This window comes from Homo sapiens, chromosome 14 (genome assembly GCF_000001405.40).
Source record: "Homo sapiens chromosome 14, GRCh38.p14 Primary Assembly".
Taxonomy (NCBI): Eukaryota; Metazoa; Chordata; class Mammalia; order Primates; family Hominidae; genus Homo; species Homo sapiens.
In genome coordinates this window covers 67,835,700-67,862,720 of record NC_000014.9, presented here as the reverse complement: position 1 = coordinate 67,862,720, position 27,021 = coordinate 67,835,700, and the positions used below count along the sequence as shown (strand labels likewise).

At 40.4% G+C, this 27,021-nt stretch overlaps 1 protein-coding gene across 12 annotated transcripts in view, besides 1 other annotated feature; it reads right to left on the bottom strand.

Moving 5' to 3' along the window:
• The window catches only part of RAD51B (RAD51 paralog B), an 863,318-nt gene that overhangs the window by 820,376 nt on the left and 15,921 nt on the right, over positions 1-27,021 (bottom strand). The gene's annotated exons all lie outside the window — the stretch shown is intronic.
• Positions 9,477-9,546: an enhancer, noted in NCBI's record as "active region_8588". NCBI's record gives its function as "activates an Ori minimal core promoter by ATAC-STARR-seq in GM12878 lymphoblastoid cells {active_cell/tissue: GM12878}" and the evidence as "EXISTENCE:reporter gene assay evidence [ECO:0000049][PMID:35858748]".

The following is a 27,021-nucleotide window of genomic DNA, read 5'->3' as shown; positions in this document are numbered from 1 at the left end:
TATTTTGTGATTCGGTGATTGAAATGTCAGGTCCTAAGTTCCACTTATTTCAGTACTTAATTGTAAGCTGAGAAGGGGATAATTACAAAGATGCAAGGATTGAAATTAAAGAAATACATCATTTGTTGGACTTAACTAAATTACTACTTGCATTTTTCAATACCTTCCATCAATTATGCAAAAGTTTTTATTGATCTTCCTTCACGTCAATTGATTGTTCTTGCAGACGAATCAAAACATGTCACATTTTAACATTTTTAACAACTGGTTTAAAAACCCACTGAAACTTTTTTTTTTTTTTGCTTACATTTATTTAGTTTTACTGAAGTATGACCATCAGCCAGAAAAGTACACAAATCACATCTGAGCAGTTTGATGAATTTCTACCACGATACTCATTTGCCACCAGATATGTATCATGGGTTTTGCTTGTTTTAATATTTTTAATTGATAAATAATAATATATATTTATGGAGTTCAATATGATGATATTTTGAAATATGTTTATAGTACACTGTAGAATGGTTAAATCAAGCTAATTAACATATCTATCACTTCATATACTTATCTTTTTTTTGGTGGGAACATTTAAAATCTACTCTTCTAGCAATTTGAAATATACAACATTATTACTAACTATAGTTACCATGCTGTAAAATAAATCACCAAAATTTATTCCTACTGTCTAACAAACTTGAGACCCTTTTACCAACATCTCTCCTTCCCCTATTCCCCCTTCCCCCCCACTGACTGAAACTCTATTTGTAACATTTTTGAAGAGTATACAAAATATTTTTCCAAGTATTTTTTAAGAGTGCAGATAAATTTTCATAAGACACACATATCTTTGACAACAAAAATCACATGATAAAAGAAATATTCCAAACAGTGATTTTAAAAACATTCTGTGTTTTTATCCCAGCCTTTAGAAAAGGCAGTTACATTTTCACTCCTTGTTAAAACATTACCTTTACCTTGAAGAAATGAAGTAACAGTGTTGCATTGATTGGTTGGTTGCTTGGTGTTTAATCTGCAATGCAGATTACATAGTCACTTGTCATACAAAAAAGGGTCAGCAAATTTGACATCTCTTGTCTTTTCATTTAAAAAAACATGCTTCACCCATCTTTTTTTTTTTTTTTTTAAAGACAGGTTCTCACTCTGTTGCCCAGGCTGGAGTGCAGTGGCATGAACATAACTTACTGCAAGTGGCCTCAAATTCACACATGCCCAGCTTTTTTTTTCATAGAGACTGGGTTTCACCATGTTGCCCAGGCTGGTCTTGAACTCCAGGACTCAAGCCATCCACCCACCTCAGCCTCTCAAAGTGCTGAGATTACAGGCATGAGCCACCATGCCCAGCTAACCCATCTTTTAAGTTCAATGATTCTTTTACAGTCTTTGCTGTAAGATAATCAGAGATGCTCTTGTGATTCAAATGATTCTCATGGTCACTTCTCATCTCATTATAGAGTACACTAGGGATTCTATACAACAGTTAGGATTTTTTGTTTTTTTGTTTTGGTTTGTGACAGGGTCTCGCTCTGTCACCCAGGCTGGAGTGCAGTGCCATGATCACGGCTCACTGCAGCCTCTGCCTTCAGGGCTCAAGCAATCCTCCCACCTCCACCACTCAAGCGGCTGGAACTACAGGCACACATCACCATACCCAGGTAATTTTTTATTTTTTGTAGTGGCAAGGTCTCACTATGTTGCCCAGGATGGTCTTGAACTCCTGAGCTAAAGTAATCCTCTCACCTTGGCCTCCCAAAGTACTAGGATTACAGGCATGAGCCAACATGCCCAGCCTAACAGTCAGATTTTAAGAAAAATTAACAACATTAATACCATACTGAAATACTCTCTTTGCATATCTGACATCAACCTATGTGTTGCTATAGATTACCTAAGGATGATGCAACAGAAAAGTTGAAAGACTTTTACAGGGACCATCCATATACCCACCACTTAGACTCTGCATTTAAAATTTTTACTGTATTTGTTATACTATACTATGACTATACTGTATGCTTTCTGTATGATTAATCCATTCACCAATCCATCTTAGGGTTTTTTTAATGCATTTCAAAGTAAGTCAAACACATTAATATAGTTTCCCCCAACAGTCCAGCATGCATAGCATTAACTAGAATTTAACATGTATTATTCCTTTTTTTCCTTTTGCAGTAAATTCTACATGCAATGAAATGTGCAAATTATAAGTCTACCATTTCATAAACTTGAACAAGTGCATACATGTATGCAACCTAAACTCTTACAAAGTCAAAACACTATCGTTATCCCAGGAAATTCTCTCATATACATTGTTTTGTATTCATAAAGTCACTTATTTTCAAGAATATATCTTCCCTGATACATCTTTATTTTAATGGCACAAAATGAAATTAGTTCTTCATGTATTTCATTATTGAAACAAAATATAGCTACTATGATAATCTGAGCCTTGTTAGAAACATCTGTACTTCAAATATATAGCATCCTCTCACATTAAATAATTTAAGTTCTCAATGATTCAAATCATCTTCAAAGATTTCTATGCAACTTCTCAAAGTATTTGTTCATGAAAGAGTTCATTTAAGGCCGGGTGCGGTGACTCATGCTTGTAATCCCAGCACTTTGGGAGGCCGAGGTGGGCAGATCACCTGAGGTCGGAAGTTCGAGACCAGTCTGACCAACATGGAGAAACCTCGTCTCTACTAAAAATACAAAAAATTAGCCAGGCGTGGTGGTGCATGCCTGTAATCCCAGCTCCTCGGGAGGCTGAGACAGGAGAATCGCACGAACCTGGGAGGTGGAGGTTGCAGTGAGCCGAGATCGCGTCATTGCACTCCAGCCTGGGCAACAAGAGCAAAACTTCGCTCAAAAAAAAAAATTCATTTAACTTGTTGCCATATTGTTTCCTATGTTTTATTTCATCCATTTTATGAACAAGTGTGTCCCTAATGTTACTAATAATGTACTGTATTTGGTCTTTTGCTGTTAAGAAAACACAAAAGATGCTTTTAAATATCTATTATTTATTTTAATGACATTTTTCTAGATACTGAGTTATGTGTCACATAACTTTAAATGTCATGGAAAAACTTTTGTCAGTTTAACTTCCTGTCCCACATGTTCATTAATTATGATGGCTTCCTACTATTGTTAGCCAGTATTTCAAGGGAATAAAATATCAGAAAGTGTTTCTTTGTTAACAATAGTGGATACAATTCCATCTATCAAATTGTCTTGCTTATAATTTCACTTTTTCTGGACATCTTCTCAGCTGAGATTAGATTGTTGTTGATTTTTACTTCAACATTAATGTCTCATAGGAGAAGCATCCGCTCTGACCTATACATGTGTGTGGCTCACTTCCACTCTCATTATTAGTATTGCACACAATTTAGTTTCTTTGCAGGAATCTTTCTTGCCATTTATCTGTTTTGTGAACTTTGATTTTGTTAAATCCATAAATCCACCTAACTAGATATATGCAGACTTATAATTCATCCCAGTATGTTGAAAATAACAAGCAAGGGGCCTCTGTCAACCCCTGCATGCTTTCCTCATGCACTATAACTGATACCCAACAGTCTGACACCCAGACCAAGTGAGGATGTCAGTGTTGATCCATTGATTAAATGTTAATTAAGGTAAATTTCATTTGTTAGATTGAAACAATAAAAGTTTTAATATTTTCTTCCCACAACCTAATGAAACATTTTACATACCCTGCTTTGGAGAATGCTAGTCTAAATTCAGAGCTCTAAACATTTTTATGGAACTTTCTTCATTTTCAAAAACAACATGGATCAAATTAGTCACCAGATATCAGGGCAAGGGAAACTTCTGTCAGTAAAAGTTGAAAGTGGATCTTGAAATAAAGAAATGCTTATGCTTACTAATGATAGCGACAGGAGGCAGTGAAATGCCTAGGCAGATAGGGTAGGGCCAGGTATCCGGTGAAACCCCACCTCCAAGCCGGATACAGTTCAAAGCCTGAAAGCCAAGCTATATGTTAAATCCCTGGACCAGAGTGAGAACTTGTCTTCCTGTTTGGCACGCTTTCCTCTGGACTGATCCTCACCCTTCACCTATTTTACGTATACCTACCCTTTCCTAATTCGTTTTCCACACTGTCTCGCCCACCTTTGAGTGGTGTCTTTGCTTTAAAATTTTTTGCATAATTGCAAACCAATCAGCATGCACTCCCCATTCTGTACCTATAAAGAACCCAAACTCAATCAATACCGGAGACAGCCGGAATTTAAGGGAGATGGCCAGACTTTGGGTAAGACAGCTGGACTTCGGGGAAGAGATGACCCAACTTTAGGGAAGATGACCTGCCCTTCCTGTCCCCTCTCTAGCTATCCTCTCCACGGAGAGTCATTTTCATCGCTCAATAAAATTATCTGCCTTCACCATCCGTCAATTGTCCAACTGACCTCATTCTTCTTGGATGCCAGACAGGGACCCACCAAGTGCGGGTACCCAGAAGGCTGTCACGCTGGCCCTTTGCCCTCACCAGCAGAGGGCAACTGCCCCACATAACGAGGTAAGGGGCCAACTGAGCTGCTAACACACCACCGTCCGCAGAGGGCAGAACTAAGAGAGTACTGTAACACCCACTCTGGGGATTCGGGGTCACAGGCACCCTTACCTGGGTGCCTCCACGGGCCCTTCATGGAGTTTGCTCCTGGCAGCTCCCAGAGTGGCTGGCCGGATCCCACACTCGCTAGCTCATGCCTGGTCTGGCCGCGGATCCCACACAGAGCTTGCTCCTGCTGGCACTCCGAGCTGTGCTGGCCAGATCCCGCACTTGCTCACTCATACCAGCACATGAAGCTTGCTCCTGCAAGTGCCTGGAACAGCCAGCCAGATCCCGCACTCACTCACTCACGTGCTCCCTCCCGCAAGAGGTTGAGCATGGTGGGCCGAGTAAATGGGATACCCCTGTCATAAGTCCAGCAAAGGGGCTGAGAAAAATCTTCCATCATTAATATCATTAGAGTGCTAACTAGCAGAGGAAAAAGGACTAGCCTTTCTATACATACTATCCATGTGCCAAGTTTTGGATATGTTCTCAGATTTAATGAGCTGAAAACTGTTCAATGCTTTGTGATTTTTAAAAGGGTGAAACAAGCCATTATTTTAATTAAGATGATATATTTGGAAATATTCAGTGAAGTATCAAGTACCTTGAAAATGTAAAGTATTACTTTACTATTCTATCTTTAAAGAAAACATGTAAAAAATAGCTGAAAAGTTAAACAAGGGCAACTGGCATTTTCCCTACTTCATTATTTTTATGTACTGATTCAGTATAGTCTTGGAGAAAATAAAACATCATGTGAATAACAGTAAGAGATTTCTGGGTTTGTTTGTTGAGTTTGGATTAGAGTTTGGATAGTAGCATTTACTTTAAACCATAATAAACAATTTCTAATTTTTTTTAACAATCTCAGATCCTGCTCACAAATTTTTTTCATCTCTTCCTAGACTCAAAAAAATTATACCATATGCGATTTTATGGGCTGCCTGGAGTTACATTTCATTTTTTTTCAGGTTTATTTAGTGGGTGAAAACATTTCAACATTAATAATTTTTAGCTTCAGATAGTCTAGCTCTGAATTCTAGCACCCAAACCACAAAATTTCAAGTTGTGTTCAGTTCCCAGCTTCAGCCCCAATGGTGGTTAGAAAGAGAAAACATGCCAAACCAGAATAGGCTAAGTTATTTGCTTCTTGTAAACTCAGACTGAATACAATATTTACACAGCGAAAACACCAGTAAAAAAACAATTCACTTCATATAGTTAGAGCCAAAGTTTCAACAACCTGCTTGAGAAATGTAAAAGAACTAAAAAAAAAAAAAGTCAGTAGTGAATATCACTCAAATATCAGCAAGGAAGAAAATGTTAATAATTGGTTTGAAGAGGAAAGAGAATTGTTCCCAAGAAAAGGTCTAATTGTACTAAAGTAAAAATGAAGCCTGCTCATCTTAAACTTTTCATGGCTGAGAGGAATGTAAAATCTGGTCCAGTTAGGACCTAAAATCTTATCAAGTTAACTCTCCTCACATTCAAGATGAGGGCAACTGGACAGGGTAATCTGCCAAGCCAATACCTGGCAGAAGACAATTTAAGGATGCCTGGCTCTGATCTGAAACCAGTGAGCATGTTTTAAAAAAGCTTCATTAAAAAATATTTTTTAATGACCTCCAGCATCTAACTACTTGTCTCCGTTTGCTCAACAATTATGTAGAAATATGAGTAGGTCTTCAGACCTACAAAATTCATTTTTAAAATAACTAACATTCTAAATCCTAAAGCCAAAACCATAAAAAAGGAAAAAAAAAAAGAATCTCAGAAAGGCCAGGTTGCATTGCATTTTGCCTTGTGAAAGAAACCTTGATCTTAAATTACTTTACACCAACATGTGGAAGAGTTTATGTCTTGGATTCTCTCTACCACTCCCTCCTTTTTCATATTGACAGCTGCCGTTTTGGAAGTAAATGGGAAGGGAGAGAGGAAGAGTAGGGATGGGAAAAGAGCAGAAAAAGCAGGAGGGAATGGAAATGACAAGTACCCCAAGTTCCACCATTAACAAAAATCAAACAGTATTAAGGGATATAATCATTCATTTAACAGCAGTTATTGAACATGTGCCACATAAAAGACTCTAGTAAACCATTACAGAGCAGAATGTTTATTTCTAAATTAGAGAGTAAGTGAAGAATTGGGAACAATGGTCCAATCAACCGCATATGCTAAATGTCTGTATTAGAACAGAGGCCTAGTTATCTGCCTTTCAAAACATAGGGCAGGATAAATGAATGTCAGCAGACTGTACTCAAGGAACATCCATTTGAAATCTCTCTCTGGTTTTCCTGCTGCTGTTACAACTTGTGGGGCACATCTGAACCTCACTGCAGCCTGAAGAAGACAGGATCCACCTTTGCAGACATGGAGACCCATGAGCAAAAAAATAAATGTTTGCTGCTGTTGTCAGCAGCTAAAATCAACTAATAAATATCTATGTCTTACACTTAACTGTTTCATGTACTTCTGTTACATGGCTCGTGCTTATAGGCATTTGAGTTTACAACCCCTGCCTTATTATTTCCTGTGATCATGTAGGCCACAGCTAATCCTGCCAATTATAAAAAGAACTATAATAGGCCGGGTGCGGTGGCTCAAGCCTATAATCCCAGCACTTTGGGAGGCCAAGGTGGGCGAATCACGAGGTCAGGAGATCCAGACCATCCTGGCTACTAACACAGTGAAACCCCGTCTCTACTAAAAATACAAAAAAAAAAAAATTAGCCAAGCGTGGTGGCGGGCACCTGTAATCCCAGCTGCTGGGGAGGCTGAGGCAGGAGAATGGCATGAACCCGGGAGGCGGAGCTTACATTGAGCCGAGATCGCACCACTGCACTCCAGCCTGTGCAACAGAGCAAGACTCTGTCTCAAAAAAAAAAGAACTATAATAGTAATTGTTCCAAGAAAAAACTAAGATGCTGGCCAGGCGCGGTGGTTCATGCCTGTAATCCCAGCACTTTGGGAGGCCAAGGCAGGTGGATCATGAGGTCAGGAGATCGAGACCATCCTGGCTAACATGGTGAAACCCCATCTCTACTAAAAATACAAAAACTTTGCCAGGCATAATAACTATGCAGATATTACATCTCTCTGTGTTGAACTGAGTTCTCTGGTCCTGTACTCTAGATTATATTACAGTATGAAAATAATAGTTTTTTAAGATACAGGATCTCACCCCAGGCTGAAGTGCAGTGGCACAAGCATAGCCCACTGCAGGTTTGAACTCCTGGCTCAAGTGATCCTCCTGCCTCAGTCTCCTAAGTAGCTGGGACTATAGGCATGCACCACCACACCTAATTTTTTTTTTTTTTACTTTTTGTAGAGCTAGGGTCTTGCTATGTTACTCAGGCTGGTCTCAAACTCCTGGCCTCAAGCGATCCTTCTGCTTCAGCCTCCCAAAGTGCTGGGATTACAGGCATGAGCCACCACACCTAGCTGAAAATACCTTTTTTGATGATATCTCTGAATACTTTTTTTTTTTTTTGAGACGGAGCCTTACTCTGTTGCCCAGGCTGGAGTGCAGTAGTGCAATCTCAGCTCACTGCAACTTCTGCCTCCTGGATTCAAATGATTCTCATGCCTCAGCCTCCCAAGTAGCTGGCACAACAGGCGCATGCCACCACACCCAGCTAATTTTTGTATTTTTGGTAAAGATGGGGTTTTACCATGTTGGGCAGGCTGGTCTCAAACTCCTGGCCTCAAGTGATCTGCCCATCTCGGCCTCCCAAAGTGCTGGGATTACAGGCGTGAGCCACTGCACCTCACCTGTATCTTTAAATATAACTTTAATTTTACCTATTCACAATAGCATCTATCTTATGCATTCTCAGCATGGGTAATATTAACCCCAAGGGTAAAAGTTGTTTTGGAGGAAGGGGAAGATTTTACTCTTTTATGTATAAAGCACAGATATTTATACAGTACAAAAACAGATATACAGTATATGTGTGGTAGAAAAACTTCATTGGAGGGTGTGGTTAAGAAAAAATTGTTAAAAAGGCTTCTTAGGAGACAATAATGAAAAAATGAATGAGGAACACTGATCTATATTATCTCATATGAGAAGGCTACCGAACTGATTTGATCTCCACATAATACAAACTTTAAGGTGTTTGCTGTTCTCAGGGAATGGAACAATGCCCTGTAGTTCACTTCCTTCAGCAGGTCCGCAGAGTTGGTGTCTCTGATTTCTCCTCTGCTGCTTCTGCTTTAAGAATGAATAGCACTTCTCTACTTCCACTTTTCATGTTGGTGTTGTAACTGAATATGTAAGCATACACAGATTCAGTGACATTCACGTAAGTCAAAACTGATGATAAATAACCTAGGAAATTTTTAAGTTAAAGTCAGGAAAGAGAAACTATAAAAATGACAGCAAAATATTTCCAGATTGATTCTTACTCTCTCAATCTCCAGATCCACTCTAAGTTCATTCAATCAGTTGCCTTACCCCACCCACCCACCAGATCTATCTGACATCTATCTAGGACACTAGGCTTGACCTTTTAACCAGAAACAAAGACTGTGCAATGCAGTTAATTAGGCACCTTCACTGACACCTGTATTTTATTAGTTCTCTACTGCTTCATAACAAATTACCACAAACTTGGCAGCTTGAACAGCATCCATTTATTATGTCACTGCAAGTCAGTTTTGACTTATGTGAATGTCACTGAATCTGGGTATACTTATATATTCAGTTACAACACCAAGATGAAAAGTGGAAGTAGAGAAGTGCTATTCATTCCTAAAGCAGAAGCAGCAGAGGATAAATCAGAGACAATCAGGTCAGAAGTCCAGATAGGGTTGGCTAGGTTCTCTGCTTAAGGTCTTACAAGGTTGAAATCAAGATCTCAGCTGAGCTGGACTCTTATCTGGAGGTTGGGAGTAAGAATCAACTTCCAAGTTCATTCAAGCTGTTGGCAAAAATCTATTTCTCTGCAGCTCTAGGTCTGAGGTTCCTTTCTTGCTCTTATCTCAGGGCCACTCACTGCTTCTAGAGGCTGCCTACATTCCTTTAATCATGGCCCCTCCACCTTCAAGGCAGCAATGGCATCCTGAGTCCTTCTTGGGTTTTAAGCTTTTCTTCCTTCCCCTTTTTAACAGCCAGAGAAAGCTCACTACTTCTAAGGGCTCATATGATTAGATCCAAATAATCTCCCCATCTTAAAGTCAACTATACCATATAACATATAATAATCATGGGAGTGACATCTCATCATATTCAAAGGTTCCAGGGATTAGGGCAGAACATCTTTGAGAGGCCATTTAAGAAATTCTGCCTACTACAACATTTCTGAGAACAGAATGGTCATAAAGTTTTTTTTTTAATTATACACATACACACATGCATGCGTACATATGTTTACACACATGCATATATCAGTGGTAGGCGGCCTCTAAGACTCAATGATGCTCACCTTTGTTATCCATGCCTTTCTGTAGTCTCCTCCCACATTGTATCAGGTTTGTCTGTGACTAATAGAATACTGCAGAAATGATGGTATGTAACTTCCAAGGCTTTGTCTTAAAAAGAAATTGTCATTTCTACCCTGTACTCTTGGATCACATACTCTGCAGAAAGTCAGCTGTTGTGTCATGAAGACACTCAAGCAGTCCTATGGAAAGGTTCACATCGCAAAGAACTGCCAACAGCCAGGACCAACTTCCCAGCCATATAAGCCATGTAAGGAAGACTTCTTGGAAGCTCAACCCCACATGGAGTCGGGGATCCCCACCAACCTTGGATCCCCGAGTTCCCTGGTGCCAGCTGTTATAGTCCCACCAAGGGAGGCCAGGTTTTTTCGCGTAGCTCTAGGATAGAAGCCATATCCATGGAGTTTAGGAGCAGTCAGACTGCAGGCCCTGCCTCTGCTGTTCCTTGCCAGGCAAGGCCACTGGCCTGGGCCCCCAGCACGCCCACTCCACCACCAACTGAGCACTCTGGTCAGTCGGTCACGGCTCTGGCTCTGTATTTCACTGGGTCAGAGCTCCCGGAGGTAACTGACAGGCCCACTGCAACTGCCTCTGTCAGGTCCTTGCTCCTGCTGCTCTCAGGCTGGGGAGGGAGTGAAGAGCCTGAGAGTAAGTAGACCTCCAGCAGGATGCAGCTGCCTTGAGAGTAAGTAGACCTCCAGCAGGATGCAGCTGCCTTCAGGAAAGGTGGCCAGACTCTTTGCTCTCAGAGGCCCAGCCCCTGCTGCTCCTTACAGGGCAGGGCCTCCTGACTTGGGCCGCCAGCACAGGCACCCCTACCCCCACATAATCACTTCAGTGAGTAGCAGCTCTGTTTCTCTAGGGTGGAGCTTCCAAAGGCAACTGACAGGCCCTCTGCCACTGCAGCTGCTGCAGTACCCATCCTTGCTACTTCTAGGCTAGGGAGGGAACAAAGGTGCTTTCAAGCACCTCCATCAGCAGAGAGGAGTACCCAACCTGCTCCCCATTCCCTCTTCCCAGGTACACCCCCCATCACCATCACTCCCAAAGGCAACTGAACAGGTCCTCTGCCGTGGCCACCCCTGCTGCCCCCAGGCTGGGGAGAGAAACTCCAGTGCCAGCAGCTACCCTTCAGAGAGGTGGCCAGAATGCTTTCCACATGACCCCCTTCCTCCACTGCCCACTCCCCAACCAGGACTGCTGCCTTCTGGCTTCTACTGCACATAGCCGACCCCTACATGAGCATTTCAGTCATGGCCCAAAGCCCTGTCGAAAACCTTACCCCCATAGACCTGTGATCTTCCCTAGGGCTCCCACCGCCTAAGTGCCCTGCCTGAGAGTTTAGCCCCTCACCCAGATATCAGCCCTCACCCCTTCCCATCACAGCCAGGACCTGAGGCTCCCCAACAATCCAGCCCCATCAAGACTCATAGAGGAAGTCCAGCCAGCCATCTAGGGACTAACTAGGGACTTACAGATCTCCCTACCCTATTCCAATTTTGCTAGTACTTTACCACATCTCCCATTGCCTGAGGTTGAACCGACGCAACCAGCCAACACCACCAAAACCAACACACCCCTGCAGAGGCCCAAAGAAGGAGTCCCCCAACCCCGCTCTTAAATGAAGAAGAGTCATCACATTGGAGAGCAGAGGAGCCACACAGCTACCTATATTAAGCTAAGTGATGAAGTTCTGCCCCAAAAACCACTCCCCTGGAGAGTCAAAAATTAGACATTTCCTAAGGCTCTCAACCACATGGTGGTCTGGAGATAGGCTGCAGTGTGTGTCTGATCCAGGAGTCAAGAGCTCTAGAACAAGGGTGTGACTGGGCAACAATCTACATTCCAGTCTATCTAGAAGGGGCTTGTGTAGCACCCCAAACCCCCACAGAGACTGTGGCACAATTCACTGGGAGCTTTTCCTAGCCACCCTCATCAGGGTTGGGGACTACACTTCTACATTTGACATAGGGGTATTTGTGGACAAGCCAGGTTATCCACTCTACCCAGCTATGTCCCCAGCACTCCCGTAAAATAGGAAGTACATGGTATGCAGCCCTCCACAGTCTAGCCTATCACCTGGAACAACAGAGAGTTCTTCACAGTAAACAAATACCAAGTACATAACTGTCTGCTTCCACCACAGCTGACTCTCACCCGTAAGCATCATCTACTGGCCCGTAGGTTGAACTCCACAGCCCAATATACAACCTGCTGCCAGAACAGAAGGCCATGGAAACAAAGACAAAAGACCCTACTCGACATACTCTTAAGTCACACCCTTTAGTGAGTGGGGGAAGGAAAGGGGGAAAAAACAATAATAATACAAGAAAAGAAAGGGAAAGAAAACCCTACCTGCATGAAAATATCTACAAAAATTTGAAGTGCCAGCCAGGCACGGTGACTCATGTCTGTAATCCATCCCAGCACTCCAACCCTGGAGGCCAAAGCAGGAGGATTGCTTGAGCCCAGGAGTTCAAGACGACGGTGGGACACTGTCTATACAAATAATTAAAAAATTAGCCAGGCATGATGGCACACGCCTATAGTCCCAGCTACTTGGAAGGCTGAGGTGGGAGGATTGCTTCAGCCTGGGAGGTCGAGGCTACAGTGGGACATGATTCACTGTACTTCAGCCTGTGCAAAAGAGTGAGAACCTGTCTCAAAAAACAAAAATTTAGAAGTGCCAACACCTACAAATGAGAAGGAAGCAACATAAGAATGCTGGCACCAGAAAAATCCAATTTTTGTAACACCACCAAAGAATCACAGTAGCTCTCTAGGAAAGGTCCCCAACCAAAATGGAAACTCAGAAATGTCAGATAAATAATTCAAAGCATGGATTGGAAGAAACTCAAAGATATAAAAGAAAAGACTGAAAATCAACACAAAGAATCTAATAAAACAATCCAGGAAATGAAAAAGGAGATAAACATCTTAAAAAGGAATCAATTAGAGCTTCTGGAACTGAAAACTTCACTTTATGATTGCCAAGCTGTTGAAAATTTTATCAACAGACTAGACCAAGCAGAAAAAAATAATTACAACTGATATTTCAAACTAACACATATAGACAAAAGTCAAGAAAAAACAATTTTAGGCCAGGTGCAGTGGCTCACGCCTGTAATCCCAGTGCTTTGGGAGGCTGAGGTGGGAGGATCACCTGAGATCAGGAGTTTGAGATCAGCCTGACCAACATGGTGAAAACCCATCTCTACTAAAATAATATAAAATTAGCTGGGTGTGGTGGCGCATGCCTGTAATCCCAGCTACTTGGGAGGCTGAGGCAGGAGAATTGCTTGAACCCGGGAGGTGAAGGTTGCAGTGAGTCGAGTTTGCGCCATTGCACTCCAGCTGGGGCAACAAGAGCAAAACTCCATCTCAAAGGAAAAAGAAAAAAAAAGAAAGAAAGAATAAAGAATTTTATAAAATGAACAAAGTCTTTGAGAAGTGTGGGATTACGTAAAGCAACCAAACCTATGAATTACTGGCATTCCTGAGAGAGGAGAAAAAGTTGACAACCTGGAAAACATACTTGATGGAATAATTCAAGAAAATTTCCCTAATATTGCTAGAGATGTAGATATCCAGGTACAAGAAATCCAGACAACATAATGGCCATCCCAAAGGCACACAGACATTCAACGAGGTCAATGCAAAAGAAAAAAGTCTTGAAGGAAGCAAGAGAGAATGGTAATGCATGGACAGAAGGAACCCCATCAGGCTAGCACCAGACATCTCAGCAGAAACTGCAAGCCAGAAGAGAGTGGGGACCTATTTTCAGTGTAGAAAAGAAATACCAACAAATAATTTCATATCCCACAAACTAAGCTTCATAAGTGAAAAATAAATAAATTTATCTCGTCTTCTCAGACAAGAAAACACTGAGGGAATTTGTTTCAACTAGAACAGCCTTATAAGAGGTCCTTCAGGAAATGCTAAACATGGAATGGTAAGAACGACACCTGCTACCACAAAAACACACTTAAGTACATAGCCCACAGACACTATAAAGTAACTACGCAATCAAGTCTACATAACAACCAGCCAACAACACAATGACAGGATCAAAGTCTCATATGTCATTACTAAACTTCAATGTTAAGTGTTCTAAACACCCCACTTAAAAGACACAGAATGGTAAGCTAGAAAAAAAAAGACAAGACTCAACCATCTGCTGTCTTCAAGAGACCCATCTCACATGTAATCCCACAGGCTCAAAGTAAAAAGGGATGAAGAAAGAGCTAGCAGGCAAATGGAAAACAAGCAGAAGTCACTATTCTTATACCAGATAAAACAGACTTTAAACCATAACGACTAAGAAAGACGTAGAAGGGTATTACACAGTGATAAAGGGTACAATCCAGCCAGGCGTGGTGGCTCACGCCTGTAATCCCAGCACTTTGGGAGGCCAAAGCAGGGAGATCATGAGGTCAGGAGATTGAGACCATCCTGGCCGACATGGTGAAACCCCATCTCTACTAAAAATACAAAAATTAGTTGGGTTGTGGTGGCACGTGCCTGTAATCCCAGCTACTCGGGAGGCTGAGGCAGAAGAATCACTTGAACCAAGGAGTCGGAGTTTGGAGTGAGCAGAGATCGTGCCACTGCACTCCAGCCTGGTGACAGACTGAGACTCCATCTTAACAACAACAACAAAAAAGTGTACAATCCAACAGGAAGATTTAACTATCCTAAATATATACCCATCAAACATTGGAGCACCCAGATTCATAAAACAAGTTCTTCTTGACTGATAAAAAGACTTAGACAACCACACAAAAATGGGGGGGGGCTTCAACACCCCACTGACAGTGACAGAAAGATCATCAAGGCAGAAAAATAACAAAGAAACTCTGGACTTAAACTTGACACTTGACCAATTAAACCTAACAGATATCTATAGAACGATCCACACACCAACCACAGAATATACATTCTTCTCAACTGTACAAGAAACATACTCTAAGAGCAACCACATGTTTGGTCATAAAGTAAGTGTCAATAAATTTTTTTAAAAATCGAAATCACATCAAGCACACTATCAGACCACAGTGCCAAAAAAATTAAAATGAATATCAAGAAGATCTCTCAAAACTACGCAAATATAGAAAGGACACAACTTGCTCCTGAATAACTCCTGGGTGAACAAGAAATTAAGGCGGAAGTCAAAAAATTATTTGATATTAATGAAAATAGGAACACAACTTCCCAAAATCTCTGGGAGGCAGCTAAAGCAGTATTAAGAGGAAAGTTTATAACACTAAATTTCTTCATCAAGAGGTTAGAAAGATTTCAAATTAACAATTTAACTTTGCACCTAATGGAATTAGAAAAAAAAAAAAAAAAAAAAAAGAACAAACCAACCCCAAAACTAGCAGAAGAAAATAAATGCCTAAAATTAGAGAGAAGACCCTGGGGCAAGATGGCCAACTAGACGCAGCCAGGAGGAACACATGCCACCAAGTGACTGGGACTTTGGGAAGACTGGCACATTCTGAGATCTTTGGAGGGAAGGCAATGAGAATGGATGGAGGGAGGATATAGATGCTGGGCTGAAGAAAGAAGAAACTGGGAACCCTGCATTGGGCTATCACACACCAAGACTTACTTCTGGCCCTCAAGGACTCCTGAGGAAGGGGTGAGTTGAAGAGGTGAAAAACAAACCCCTCTCACCACAGACCTCTGAAATCCTAGCAGCAGGAGACCCCACGACCCCAGGGTGTGGACACCTGAGCTGGCTGGGAGAGGTGCTTAGAGAGGTGGTAGGGGTAGGAATGCAGTGTGGAACCCAGAGGGTTTGGTGCAGTAATGTCTGCAGTGGAGCACAACCAGGGTTGTCCATCTCCCAAGGCTCACCATGCTCTCCTAGGAGACTTTAGCCTTAGGAGAACTGTCAAATCTGAACAGATCATGGTGGTCTTGCATGTGAAATGGAGCCAGTCCAATCAAAGCACCCCTTGTCTGCTGGCCTCTCCCAGGGTCCCAACCTGGTGGAGCACACTTGCAGTGTACCCTCGGATGCCCAACTGAGGTGCCTCCAGGGGGCCTACATCATAGCTCCTTCACTGGCAGATAATGCTGACCATCAAGAGCTCCAGTAGAGCAGCCTCCACTGAGGCACACCAGACCACCACTGACTGCAGCCTCCTCTGTGCTGCTTTGCCAGCAGGAACATGCACTCGGCCACGCCCCCACCTGCCCTACCGTTTTGCTGGCACACGTGTGGGTAGACCTCACCTCCCCTCCATCGCTGGCACCCATGTGCATATGCATCCCACTATGCCACAGCTGTGGTGTAGAGTGTAACCCCACCACTGCGTGGCCATTGCCACTGCAAACGCGCATACGGAGGACAGCAACCCACACGCCACCCCCCACACTGCCACCAGCACGAACACACACATGGAGACTGGCAGCCCTGTACCTGCCAGCACCGCACTACCCCATGCGCCAACACCACCACCAGTATGAATATGCACACAGAGGCTGGCAGCGCCGCACCCACCAGCACCCCATCCAAGCCATGGAGTGTGCATCCCACCATAACGCAGCTGCTGTTGGTACATGTGAACAAGCACAGATCCCACTGCCACCACCCCAACAACGCAATTTGGCTGGCACCACACATCAGTGTTGTGGCCAGAGATCCAAGAACACCTGGGCTCCTCCAGCACAGAAGGTTCCTAACCTGAAGGGCCCAGAGAACAAAGCTGGGGGCCTGAATTCAAATTCAAGAAATGCAGAGAACTTCTGTGAGATACTATCCAAAATGATCATCCCCAGGACACAGTCATCAGATTCATCAAAGTCAAAATGAAGGAAAAAAATGTTAAAGGCAGCTAGAGGGAAGGGGCAAGTCACCTACAAAAGAAACTCCATCAGGCGAACAGTGAACCTTTCAGCAGAAACTCTGCAAGCTGGAAGAGATTGGAGGACTATATTCAACATTCTTAAGGTAAAGAAATTCCAATCATGAATTTCGTGTGTGTGTTTTTTTGTGTGTGTGTATATGTGACAGGGTTTCACTCTGTCACCCAGGCTGGAGTGCAGTGGCATGATCATGGCTCACTGCAGCAATGACCTCCTGGGCCCAAGCAGTCCTCCCACCTCAGCCTCCTGAGTAGCTGGGACTACAGGCACATGCCACCACACCCGGCTAATTTTAGCATTTTTTGTAGAGACAGGGTTTCATCATATTGCCCCGGCTGGTCTCAAACTCCTGGGCTCAAGCAATCCACCTGCCTCAGCCTCCCAAAGTGCTAGGATTACAGGCGTGAGCCACCACACCCAGCCCCAACCAAGAATTTCATATGCAGCCAAACTAAGCAAAGGAGAAATAAGATCCTTTTCAGACAAACAAATGCTAAGGGAATTTGTTACCATTAGACCTGCCTTACGAGAGGTCCTGAAGGGAGTGTTAAATATAAAAAGGAAAGACCATCACCAGCCACTACAAAAACACACTTAAGTACATAGACCATTGCCACTATAAAGCAACAACACAAACAAGTCTGCATAATAACCGGCTAACAACATGATGACAATATCAAATCCACATGTCAATATTAACGTTGAATGTAAACAAGCTAAATGCCCCAATTATAAGGCACAGAGTGGCAAGTTGGACAAAGAGTCAAGACCCAATGGTGTGCCATCTTCAAGAGACCCACCTCACATGCAATGACACCCATAAGCTCAAAATAAAGGGATAGAGAAAAATCTACCAAGCAAACAGAAAATAGAAAAAAGTAGGGGTTGCTATTATAACAGACAAAGCCGACTTTAAACCACTAAAGATAAAAAAAGACAAAAATGGTTTCCAGCTTCATCCACGTCCCTACAAAGGACATGAACTCATCATTTTTGAAGGGGAACATCACACACTGGGGCCTGTTGTGGGGTGGGGGGAGCGGGGAAGGATAGCATTAGTAGATATACCTAATGTAAATGACGAGTTAATGGGTGCAGCACACCAACATGGCACATGTATACATATGTAACAAACCTGCACGCTGTGCACATGTACCCTAGAACTTAAACTATAATAAAAAAAATATATATATATAATATATATATAAAAGACAAGGGCACTACATAATGGTAAAGCATTCAATTCAACAAAAAGACCTAATTATCCTATATATGCAGCAAACATAGGAGCACCCAGGTTCATAAAGCAAGTTCTTAAAGACTTATGAAGAGACTGCATAATAATAGTGTGAGACTTCAACACCCCACTGACATTATAAGACAGATCATTAAGACAGAAAACTAATAAATTCAAGACCTGAACTCAACACTTGACCAAATGAACCTAATAGACATCTACAGAACTCCCCACCCAAAAACAGCAGAATATACATTATTTTCATCTGTACAGGGTACATGTTCTAACACTGACCACACAATCAACCATAAAACAATAGTCAACAAATTAAAAAAAAAAACTGCAATCATACCAATCACACTCTTGGACCATAACACAATAAAAATAGAAATCAATACTAAGAAAATCACTTAAAACCATACAATTACATGGAAATAAACAACCTGCTCCTGAGTGACTTTTGGGTAAACAATGAAATTAAGGCAGAAATCAAGAAATTCTTTGAAACTAATGAGAATAAAGATACAACATACCAGAATCTCTGGGACACAGCTACAACAGTGTTAAGAGGAAAGTTTATACTGTTAAAAGCCCATATCAGAAAGTTCAGAAGTTCTCAAGTAAATAACCTAACATCTAACCTAGAGGAAACAGAGAAGCAAGAGCAAACCAACCCCAAAGCTAGCAGAAGATAAGAAATAACCAAAATCAGAGCTGAACTGAACAAAATTGAGATGCAAAAAAAAAAATAATTAAAAAGATCAAAGAATCAAGGAGTTTGTTCCTTGAAAGAATATATAAGATAAACTGCTAGCTAGACTAATAAGAAAAAAAAAGATCCAAATAAACAATCAGAAATGACAAAGGTGATATTCCATCGACCCCACAGAAATACAAAAAACCCTCAGAGAACTACTACAAACGCCTCTATGTACACTAACTAGAAAACCTAGAAGAAATGCATAAATTCCTGGAAACATGCAACCTCCCAAAATTGAACCAGAAAGAAATTAAACTAATGAACAGACCAATAATGAGGTCCGAAATTGAATTAAGTAACAAAAAGCCTACCAAGCAGAAAAATCCCAGGACCAGACATGTTCACGGCCTAATTCTACCAGATGTACAAAGAAGCACTTATACCATTCCTACTGACAATGTTCCAAAAAACTGAGGAAGAGGGACTCCTCAATAACTCATTCTATAAGACCAGTATCAGCCTGACACCAAAATCTGGCAGAGACACAATGTAAAAGACAGCATTGTGGGGGAGGGGGGGAGGGACAGCATTAGGAGATATACCTAATGCAAAATGACCAGTTGGTGCAGCACACCAACATGGCACATGTATACATATGTAACAAACCTGCATGTTGTGCACATGTACCCTAAAACTTAAAGTATAATAATAATAAAATTTTAAAAAAAGAAAAAAAAAAAGAAAGCATCAGGTCAATATCCCTGATGAACATGGATGCAAAAATCTGCAAGAAAATATGAGCAAACTGAATCCAGCAACACATCAAAAAGTTAATACATCATGATTAAGTAAGCTTTATTCCTGAGACGCAGGGCTAGTTCAACATATGTAAATCAATAAATGTTATTCACAACATAAACAGATTTAAAGTAAAAACCATATGATCATCTCCATAGACACAGAAAAAGCTGTCAACATAATCCAACACCCCTTCATGATAAAAACCCTCAACAGACTAGGCATCGAAATGAACATACCTCAAAATACTAAGACCCATTTATGACAAACCCACAGCCAACATCATTCTAAACAGGCAAAATTTGGGAGAACTAGAACAAGATAAGGATGCCCAGTCTCACCACTCCTATTCAACATAGTACAGGAAGTCCTAGCCAGAGCAATCAGGCAAGAGAAAGAAATAAGGCTGGGCACGGTGGCACATGCCTGTAATCCCAGAATTTTGGGAGGCCTAGACAGGCAGATCACTTGAGGTCAGGAGTTCAAGACCAGCTTGGCCAATATGGTGAAACCCCATCTCTACTAAAAATATAAAAATTAGCTGGGAGTGGTAGTGCACGCCTATAGTCCCAGCTACTTGAAAGGCTGAGGCAAGAGAAGGTGAGGAGGTGAGGTTGCAGTGAACCAAGATTGTGCCACTGCACTCCAGCCTAGGCGACAGAGTGAGACTCCATCTCAAAAAGGGAAAGAAATAAAAGGCATCAAAATAGAAAAGAAAAAGCAAAATCATCTCTCTTCACTGACAATATGATTCTATACCTAGAAAACCCTAAAGACTGCTGCTCCAAAAGGCTCCCAGAACTGATAAATGACTTTAGTAAAGTTGAAGGCTACAAAATCAATGCACAAAAATCAGTAGCTTTTCTATACACCAATAACATTCCAGCTGAGAGCCAAGTCAAGAATACAATCCCATTTACAATAGCTACACAAAAAAAATAAAATATCTAGGAATACATCTAACCAAGGAGGTGAACGATCTTTGGAAGGAGAACTACAAAACACTGCTACAAGAAATCATAGATGATACAAACAAATGAAAAAACATTCCATACTCATGGATTTGAAGAATCAATACCGTTAAAATGGCATATTTCCCAAAGCAATGTACAGATTCAAATTACCAATGTCATTTTTCACAGAATTAGAAAAAACTATTCTAACATTCATATGGGAAGTTAAGAGTCTGAAAAGCCAAGGGAATCCTAAGCAAAGAGAACAAAGCTAGAGGCATCACACTACCTGACTTCAAACTATAGCAACCAAAACGGCATGGTACTGGTACAAAAACAGACATAGTGATCAATGGAACAGAATAGAGAACCCAGAAATGAAACCACACACTTACAACCTCTGATCTTTGACAAAGTCAACGAAAATAAAAAAATGGGGAAAGGACTTCCTATTCAATAAATGCTGCTGAGATTACCAGCTAGCCATATGCAGAATAATTAAACTGGACCCCTACCTTTTACCATTTACAAAAATTAACTCAAGATGGATCAACAATTTAAATCTAAGACCCAACCCATAAAAATCCTAGAAGAAAACCAAGGAAAATCCATTCTGGACATCAGCCTTGGCAAAGAACTAATGGCTAAGACCTCAAAAATATTGTAACAAAAACAAAAATTGACAAGTGGTACCTAACTAAAGAGCTTCTGCACAGCAAAAGAAACTATCAACAGAATAAATGGACGCCCTACAGAATAGGAGAAAATATTCACAAACTAGGCATGTGACAAAGGTCTAATATCCAGATTCTATAAGGAACTTAAACAAATCAACAAGCAAAAAATGACCCCATTAAAAGTGGGTAAAGGACATGAACAGACACTTCTCAAAAGAAGACATACATGTGGCCATCAAATATAAAATGCTCAACATCCCTAATCATTAGAGAAATGCAAATCAAAACCACAATGAGATACCATCTCACACCAGCCAGAATGGCTATTATTAAGAAGTCAAAATGGCCAGGCACAGTGGCTCATGCCTATAATCTCAGCAATTTGGGAGGCTGAGGTGGGCGGATCACTTGAGGCCAGGAGTTTGAGACCAGCCTGGCCAACATGGTGAAACCCCATCTCTACTAAAAAATAAAATTAGCTGGGCATGGTAGCACACACCTGTAATCCCAGCTACTCAGGAGGCTGAGGCACGAGAATCACTTGAACCTGGGAGGCAGAGGTTGCAGTGAGCCAAAAGTGCCACTGCCCTCCGGGCTGGGCAACAGAATGAGACTCTGTCCCAAAAAAAAAAAAAAAGTCAAAAAATAATAGATGCTGGAAAGGGTGCAGAGAAAATGGAATGCTTATACACTGTAGGTGGAAATATAAATTAGTTCAATCACTGTGCAAAGGAGTTTGGAGATCTCCCAAAGAACTTAAAACAGAGCTACCATTTGAGCCAGCAATCTCATTGCTGGATATATACCCAAAGGAAAATAAATCACTCTACCAAAAAGACATATGCACTCGTATGTTCACTGCCACAGTATCCACAATAGCAAAGACATGGAATCAACCTAAGTGCCCATCCATGGTAGAGTAGATAAAGAAAATGTGGTAAATATATACCATGGACTACTACACAGCCATAAAAAGAACAAAATCATGTCCTTTGCAGCAACATGGATGCAGCTCTTGGTCATTATCCTAAGTGAATTAACACAGGAACAGAAAACCAAAGACTGCATGTTCTCACTTATAAGTGGGAGCTAAACATTGGGTATACATGGACACAAAGATGGGAACAATCAACACTGGAGATTATTAGAAGGAGGAAGAAGGGAGCAGGGAAAAAGGCTAAAAAAACTACTTATTGGGGACTATGTTCAGTAGCTGAGAGATGGTATAAATCGTACCCCAAACCTCAGCATCACGCAATATACCAATGTAACAAACCTGTACATATACCCCCTGAACCTAAAATAAAATAGGGCACCCAATTATTAGAGAATAATCATTCTTTTCAAGCACACGTGCAACATTTATCAAAGTTCATCACATATTTAACCTTAAAAGATGTCTCAGGGAACTTCAAAAAATCAATATCATGCAAAGTTATCTGACAAAAATGCAATTAGATTAATAATGTAATTAAAATAAATTTTTTTAATTAAGTAATTTAGATATTTTAAAATTCCAAATGATACATGAGTCAAAGAAGCAATTGTGATGGGAATGTTTAAATACTTCTAGAACAGAATGAAAATGGAAATACTATATCTCAAAATAGAATGCTTCAAGAAAAATTCAGTCTTAAAAGGTCAGAGTAAAAAGAAAAACTGAAAATTAATAGATTAAATATCTAATTTAAGAAGTTAGAAGCAAAGAATAACCCCACAAAAAAATTAAATAAAAGGAGATAATAAGAAAATGGCAGAAATAAAGGAGGTAGAAGATGAAGAAATAATAGAGAAGACCAACAAAGAACAACAAAATGCAGAGTTCTTTAAAATGATGACATACATACTCAAACTTCTGACAAGATTTTTTTTAAAAGAGAGGGAGAAATAAAACAAAGTAAGTAATATCAGAAATGGAAAGGGGGACAAAAACCACATGTAAAACCAGATTTAAGAGCTGGAAGATTGTAATGAATAACTTTATTATAATAAATTTGAAAACATAAAGAAAATGGACAAATTCCTAAAAATCTCATTCACTGTAACTAATCAAGAAGAAATAGAAAATCTGAGTAGTCCTATAATCATTAAAGGAATTGAATTTTTAAAAAATCTTCTCAGAAGGAAAAATATCAAGATCAGACAATTTTTCAGACAAGTTCTACCAAATCTTCAAGGAACAAATAATTCCCATCATAGGCAAACTATTGCAGAATATTAAAAAAAGAGATATTCCATAATCCATTCTACCAAACTAGTATAAGATAAATACTAATTCAGACAAAGACACTACTAAAAGGAAAATTACAGCTGAATATCCATCCTAAATATTGAAAAATCTTAAATATTAGCAAACTGAATCCAACAGTTTATAAAAAAAGATAATATATCATGACCAAGTTGAACTTGTCCCAAAAATGCAATAGTAGTTTAACATCAGAAAAATCTATTAAATGTTTCTCACCATGCTATTAGACCAAAGATGAAAAATAATACAATCATTTCAATCAATGCAGAAAAAAAAGTTTTTGATAAAATGTAACACCAAATTAGTATTTTAGCTAGGAAATGGAGGAAAGTTCTTTATTTCTGATCAAGGATATCTACTTACAGCAAACATCACAGGTTTTTTTTTTTTTACTTTTTTATCTAGAAATAATTTTAAACTTACAGGAAAATGGTATTAATAAAAACAGAAGGCCAGGCGCAGTAGCTCACACCTGTAATCCCAACACGTTGGGAGGCCAGGGCAGAAAGGATCACTTGAGGTCAGGAGTTCAAGACCAGTCTGGGCAACATAGCAAGCCCTCATCTCTACAAAACATTTTAAAAAATTAGCCAGGCATGGTGGTGCACACCTGTAGTCCTAGCTACTTGGGAGGCTGAGGAAGGAGGATCATTTCAGCCCAGGAGTTTGAAGCTGCAGTGAGCTATGGTTGTGCCACTGCACTCCAGCCTAGGTGACACAGCTAGACCATGTATCTTTTTTTTTAATTTAAAATAAAAATAAATTAAAAATAAATAAAAACAATACAGAATATATATATGCATTCTTTTCCCACATCCACCCACCGTTAACATTTTGCCCAATTTACTTTATCGTTTTGCTAGCTCTCTCTTACCTCCACATGTGTGTATGTGCATGCGCATGTATGATACACAGTATGAAATCAGTATGTCAATCTACGCTCCCATTTTTATTGCAGCACTATTCACAGTACCCAAGAGATGGAATCAACCTAAGTGTCCATCAGCAGACAAATGGATAAATATGTGGTACATACATGCAATGGAGTACTATTTCAGCCATAAAAAAGAATGAGATTCTGTCATCTCTAACAACATGGATGGAACTCAAGGTCATTATGTTGAGTAAAATGTCAGACACAGAAAGACAAACCTTGCATGTTCTCACTCACATGTAGAAGCTAAAAAAATTGATCTCATAGAAGTGGAGAGTAGAATAGTGGTTATTAGAGGCTGAGATGGTTAGAGGGAGACAGCCAAAGGTTGGTTAGCAGTTACAAAATTATAGCAAGACAGGAGGAATAAGTCTTAGTTTTCTATAGCACCTTAGGTAAACTATAATTTACAACAATTTATTATATATTTTCAAATAGCTAGAAGAGGGGCTTTTGGATGTTCCGAACACACACAAAAAATGATAAATGCTTGAAGTGATGGATATGCCAATTACCTGATTTGATCATTATACATTGCACACACATATCAGAATATCACACTGTACCCCATAAATATATACAATTATTGTATCAATTAAAAATTGTAATAAAAGCAAAAAAAACTCTGTTTGAGGATAATTTGATATACTCCCTGTACTCAGTTGAAAAACAAAAAACAAAAAAGATTGAAGAAGCTACCTGTAGCTAGAACAGAAAGGAGAGAATTTGCCCCTACTAAGGAGTCAAAGTATTTATATTCCTATTCCAAGTCAGCCAATTAGATAACAACAAAACACCTAAAAGGCTTGTAACTTCTGTTTGGATTTTAAAAAATAATTAATAAAAGCTAAGTGAAAAAGTATTAAAAATTATTCTAAAACTTAAAAAGTAAAAAGAATTTCCCAGTTAATCTTCCTTAAGTTCAATGTTTTTGCTATTTAAATAAGTAAGTTTATGACTGTGGATCACACTGTAATAAACCTTGTTTAAGCAAGTGGAACTTCAGCCCAAAAAGTTTATGTAAAATCATGTGATTCTGGCACCACCTGGTGGCAGTATATTCCAAAAGAAGAGGATGTGTGTGTGTGTGCGTGTGTGTGTGTGTATGTGTGTGTGTGCATTTTTATTAATAACTAATTCACGCATTTATTTACCAACTATTTAATAGGCATCTGCTAGGTGTTGCTCATATAAATCTTTAAATCTCTCTTGGAAGACAGGAAATAAAATATAGTATCTAAAACAGGGTCCCTATCTCCAAGGAAAAAAAATCCACAGTTAAATTATGACTATCAGAATGTAAGAAAATAATCTGTTCTTGTTTAGAAGTTTCCTGAAAGTATTTATGCCCCTAGAACTTTCAAGCAAGAAGTCCTCAGGAGTGTATTGATAAACATTGTCTATGAAGTCACCACATTGTAAGCAGTTTTCAAGGAAAATAACTGCAGTGGTTTTAAAATGTCCTCAAATTCCTGACACTTCTTCCTCCAAAAGGTTGGCCAGGTGTAGTGGCTCACACCTGTAATCCCAGCACTTTGGGAGGCCCAGGTGGGTGGATCACCTGAGGCCAGGAGTTTGAGACCAGCCTGGACAACATGGTGAAACCCCATCTCTAGTAAAAATACAAAAAATTAGCCAGGCATGGTGATACATGCCTGCAATCCCAGCTACTCACTTGAACCTGGGAGGCAGAGGTTGCAGTAAGCCAAGATTGTGCCACTGCACTTCAGCCTGGGCAACAGAGCAAGACTCTGTCTCAAAAAAAAAAAAAAAAGAGGCTAATTTCCCTTTCCTTAAATGTAGGCTTGACTTAATGACTCACTTCTAATGACGAAAAGTGGCAGAAGTAGTGGTGTGTAACTTCCAAAGCTAGGTTGCCAAAGATATCACCACTTCCATCTTGCCTTCTTCAAGACCACTCACCTGGGGGAAGTCAGCCATCATGTCATAAGACTCAAGAAGCCTGTGGAGAGCCTACCTGGTGAGGCACTGTGGCCTCCTGCCAACCACCAGCACCCATTTGCCAGTCATGTAAGTGGGCCCCTCAGAAACAGATCCTACAGCCCCTACCAAGCTTCAGATGACTGCATCCCTCACCAACAATGCTGAGCTAAGCCACTCACAAAGAAACTAAGAAATAACCAAAGTTTATTGTTTTAAGCCACTTAGTTTTGGGATAATTTGTTATCCAACAGTATTAACTAATCCAATAACCTATCACTTCCTAAAAGAAATTTTATCTATAACAGAAAGTAAAAACAGCTCACTTTAGTTTAATACTATAATTTTTCCATATGTTAATAAAATTTCAAATTGTCCTTCCTAATTTATAAGGAGTGATCCTTTTTTAATTCCCCCAATTGTTTCATAATATTATTTCATAATATTTACCACTTTCTTTTTTTTGAGACAGGGTCTTGCTCTGTCACCCAGGCTGGAATGCAGTGGTGTGACCATGGCTCACTCTAGCCTTGACCTCCCTGGCTCAAGGTCAGCCTCCTGAGTAGCTAGGACCATAAGCATGCACCACCACATATGGCTAAATGGTTTCTGGGTTTTTTT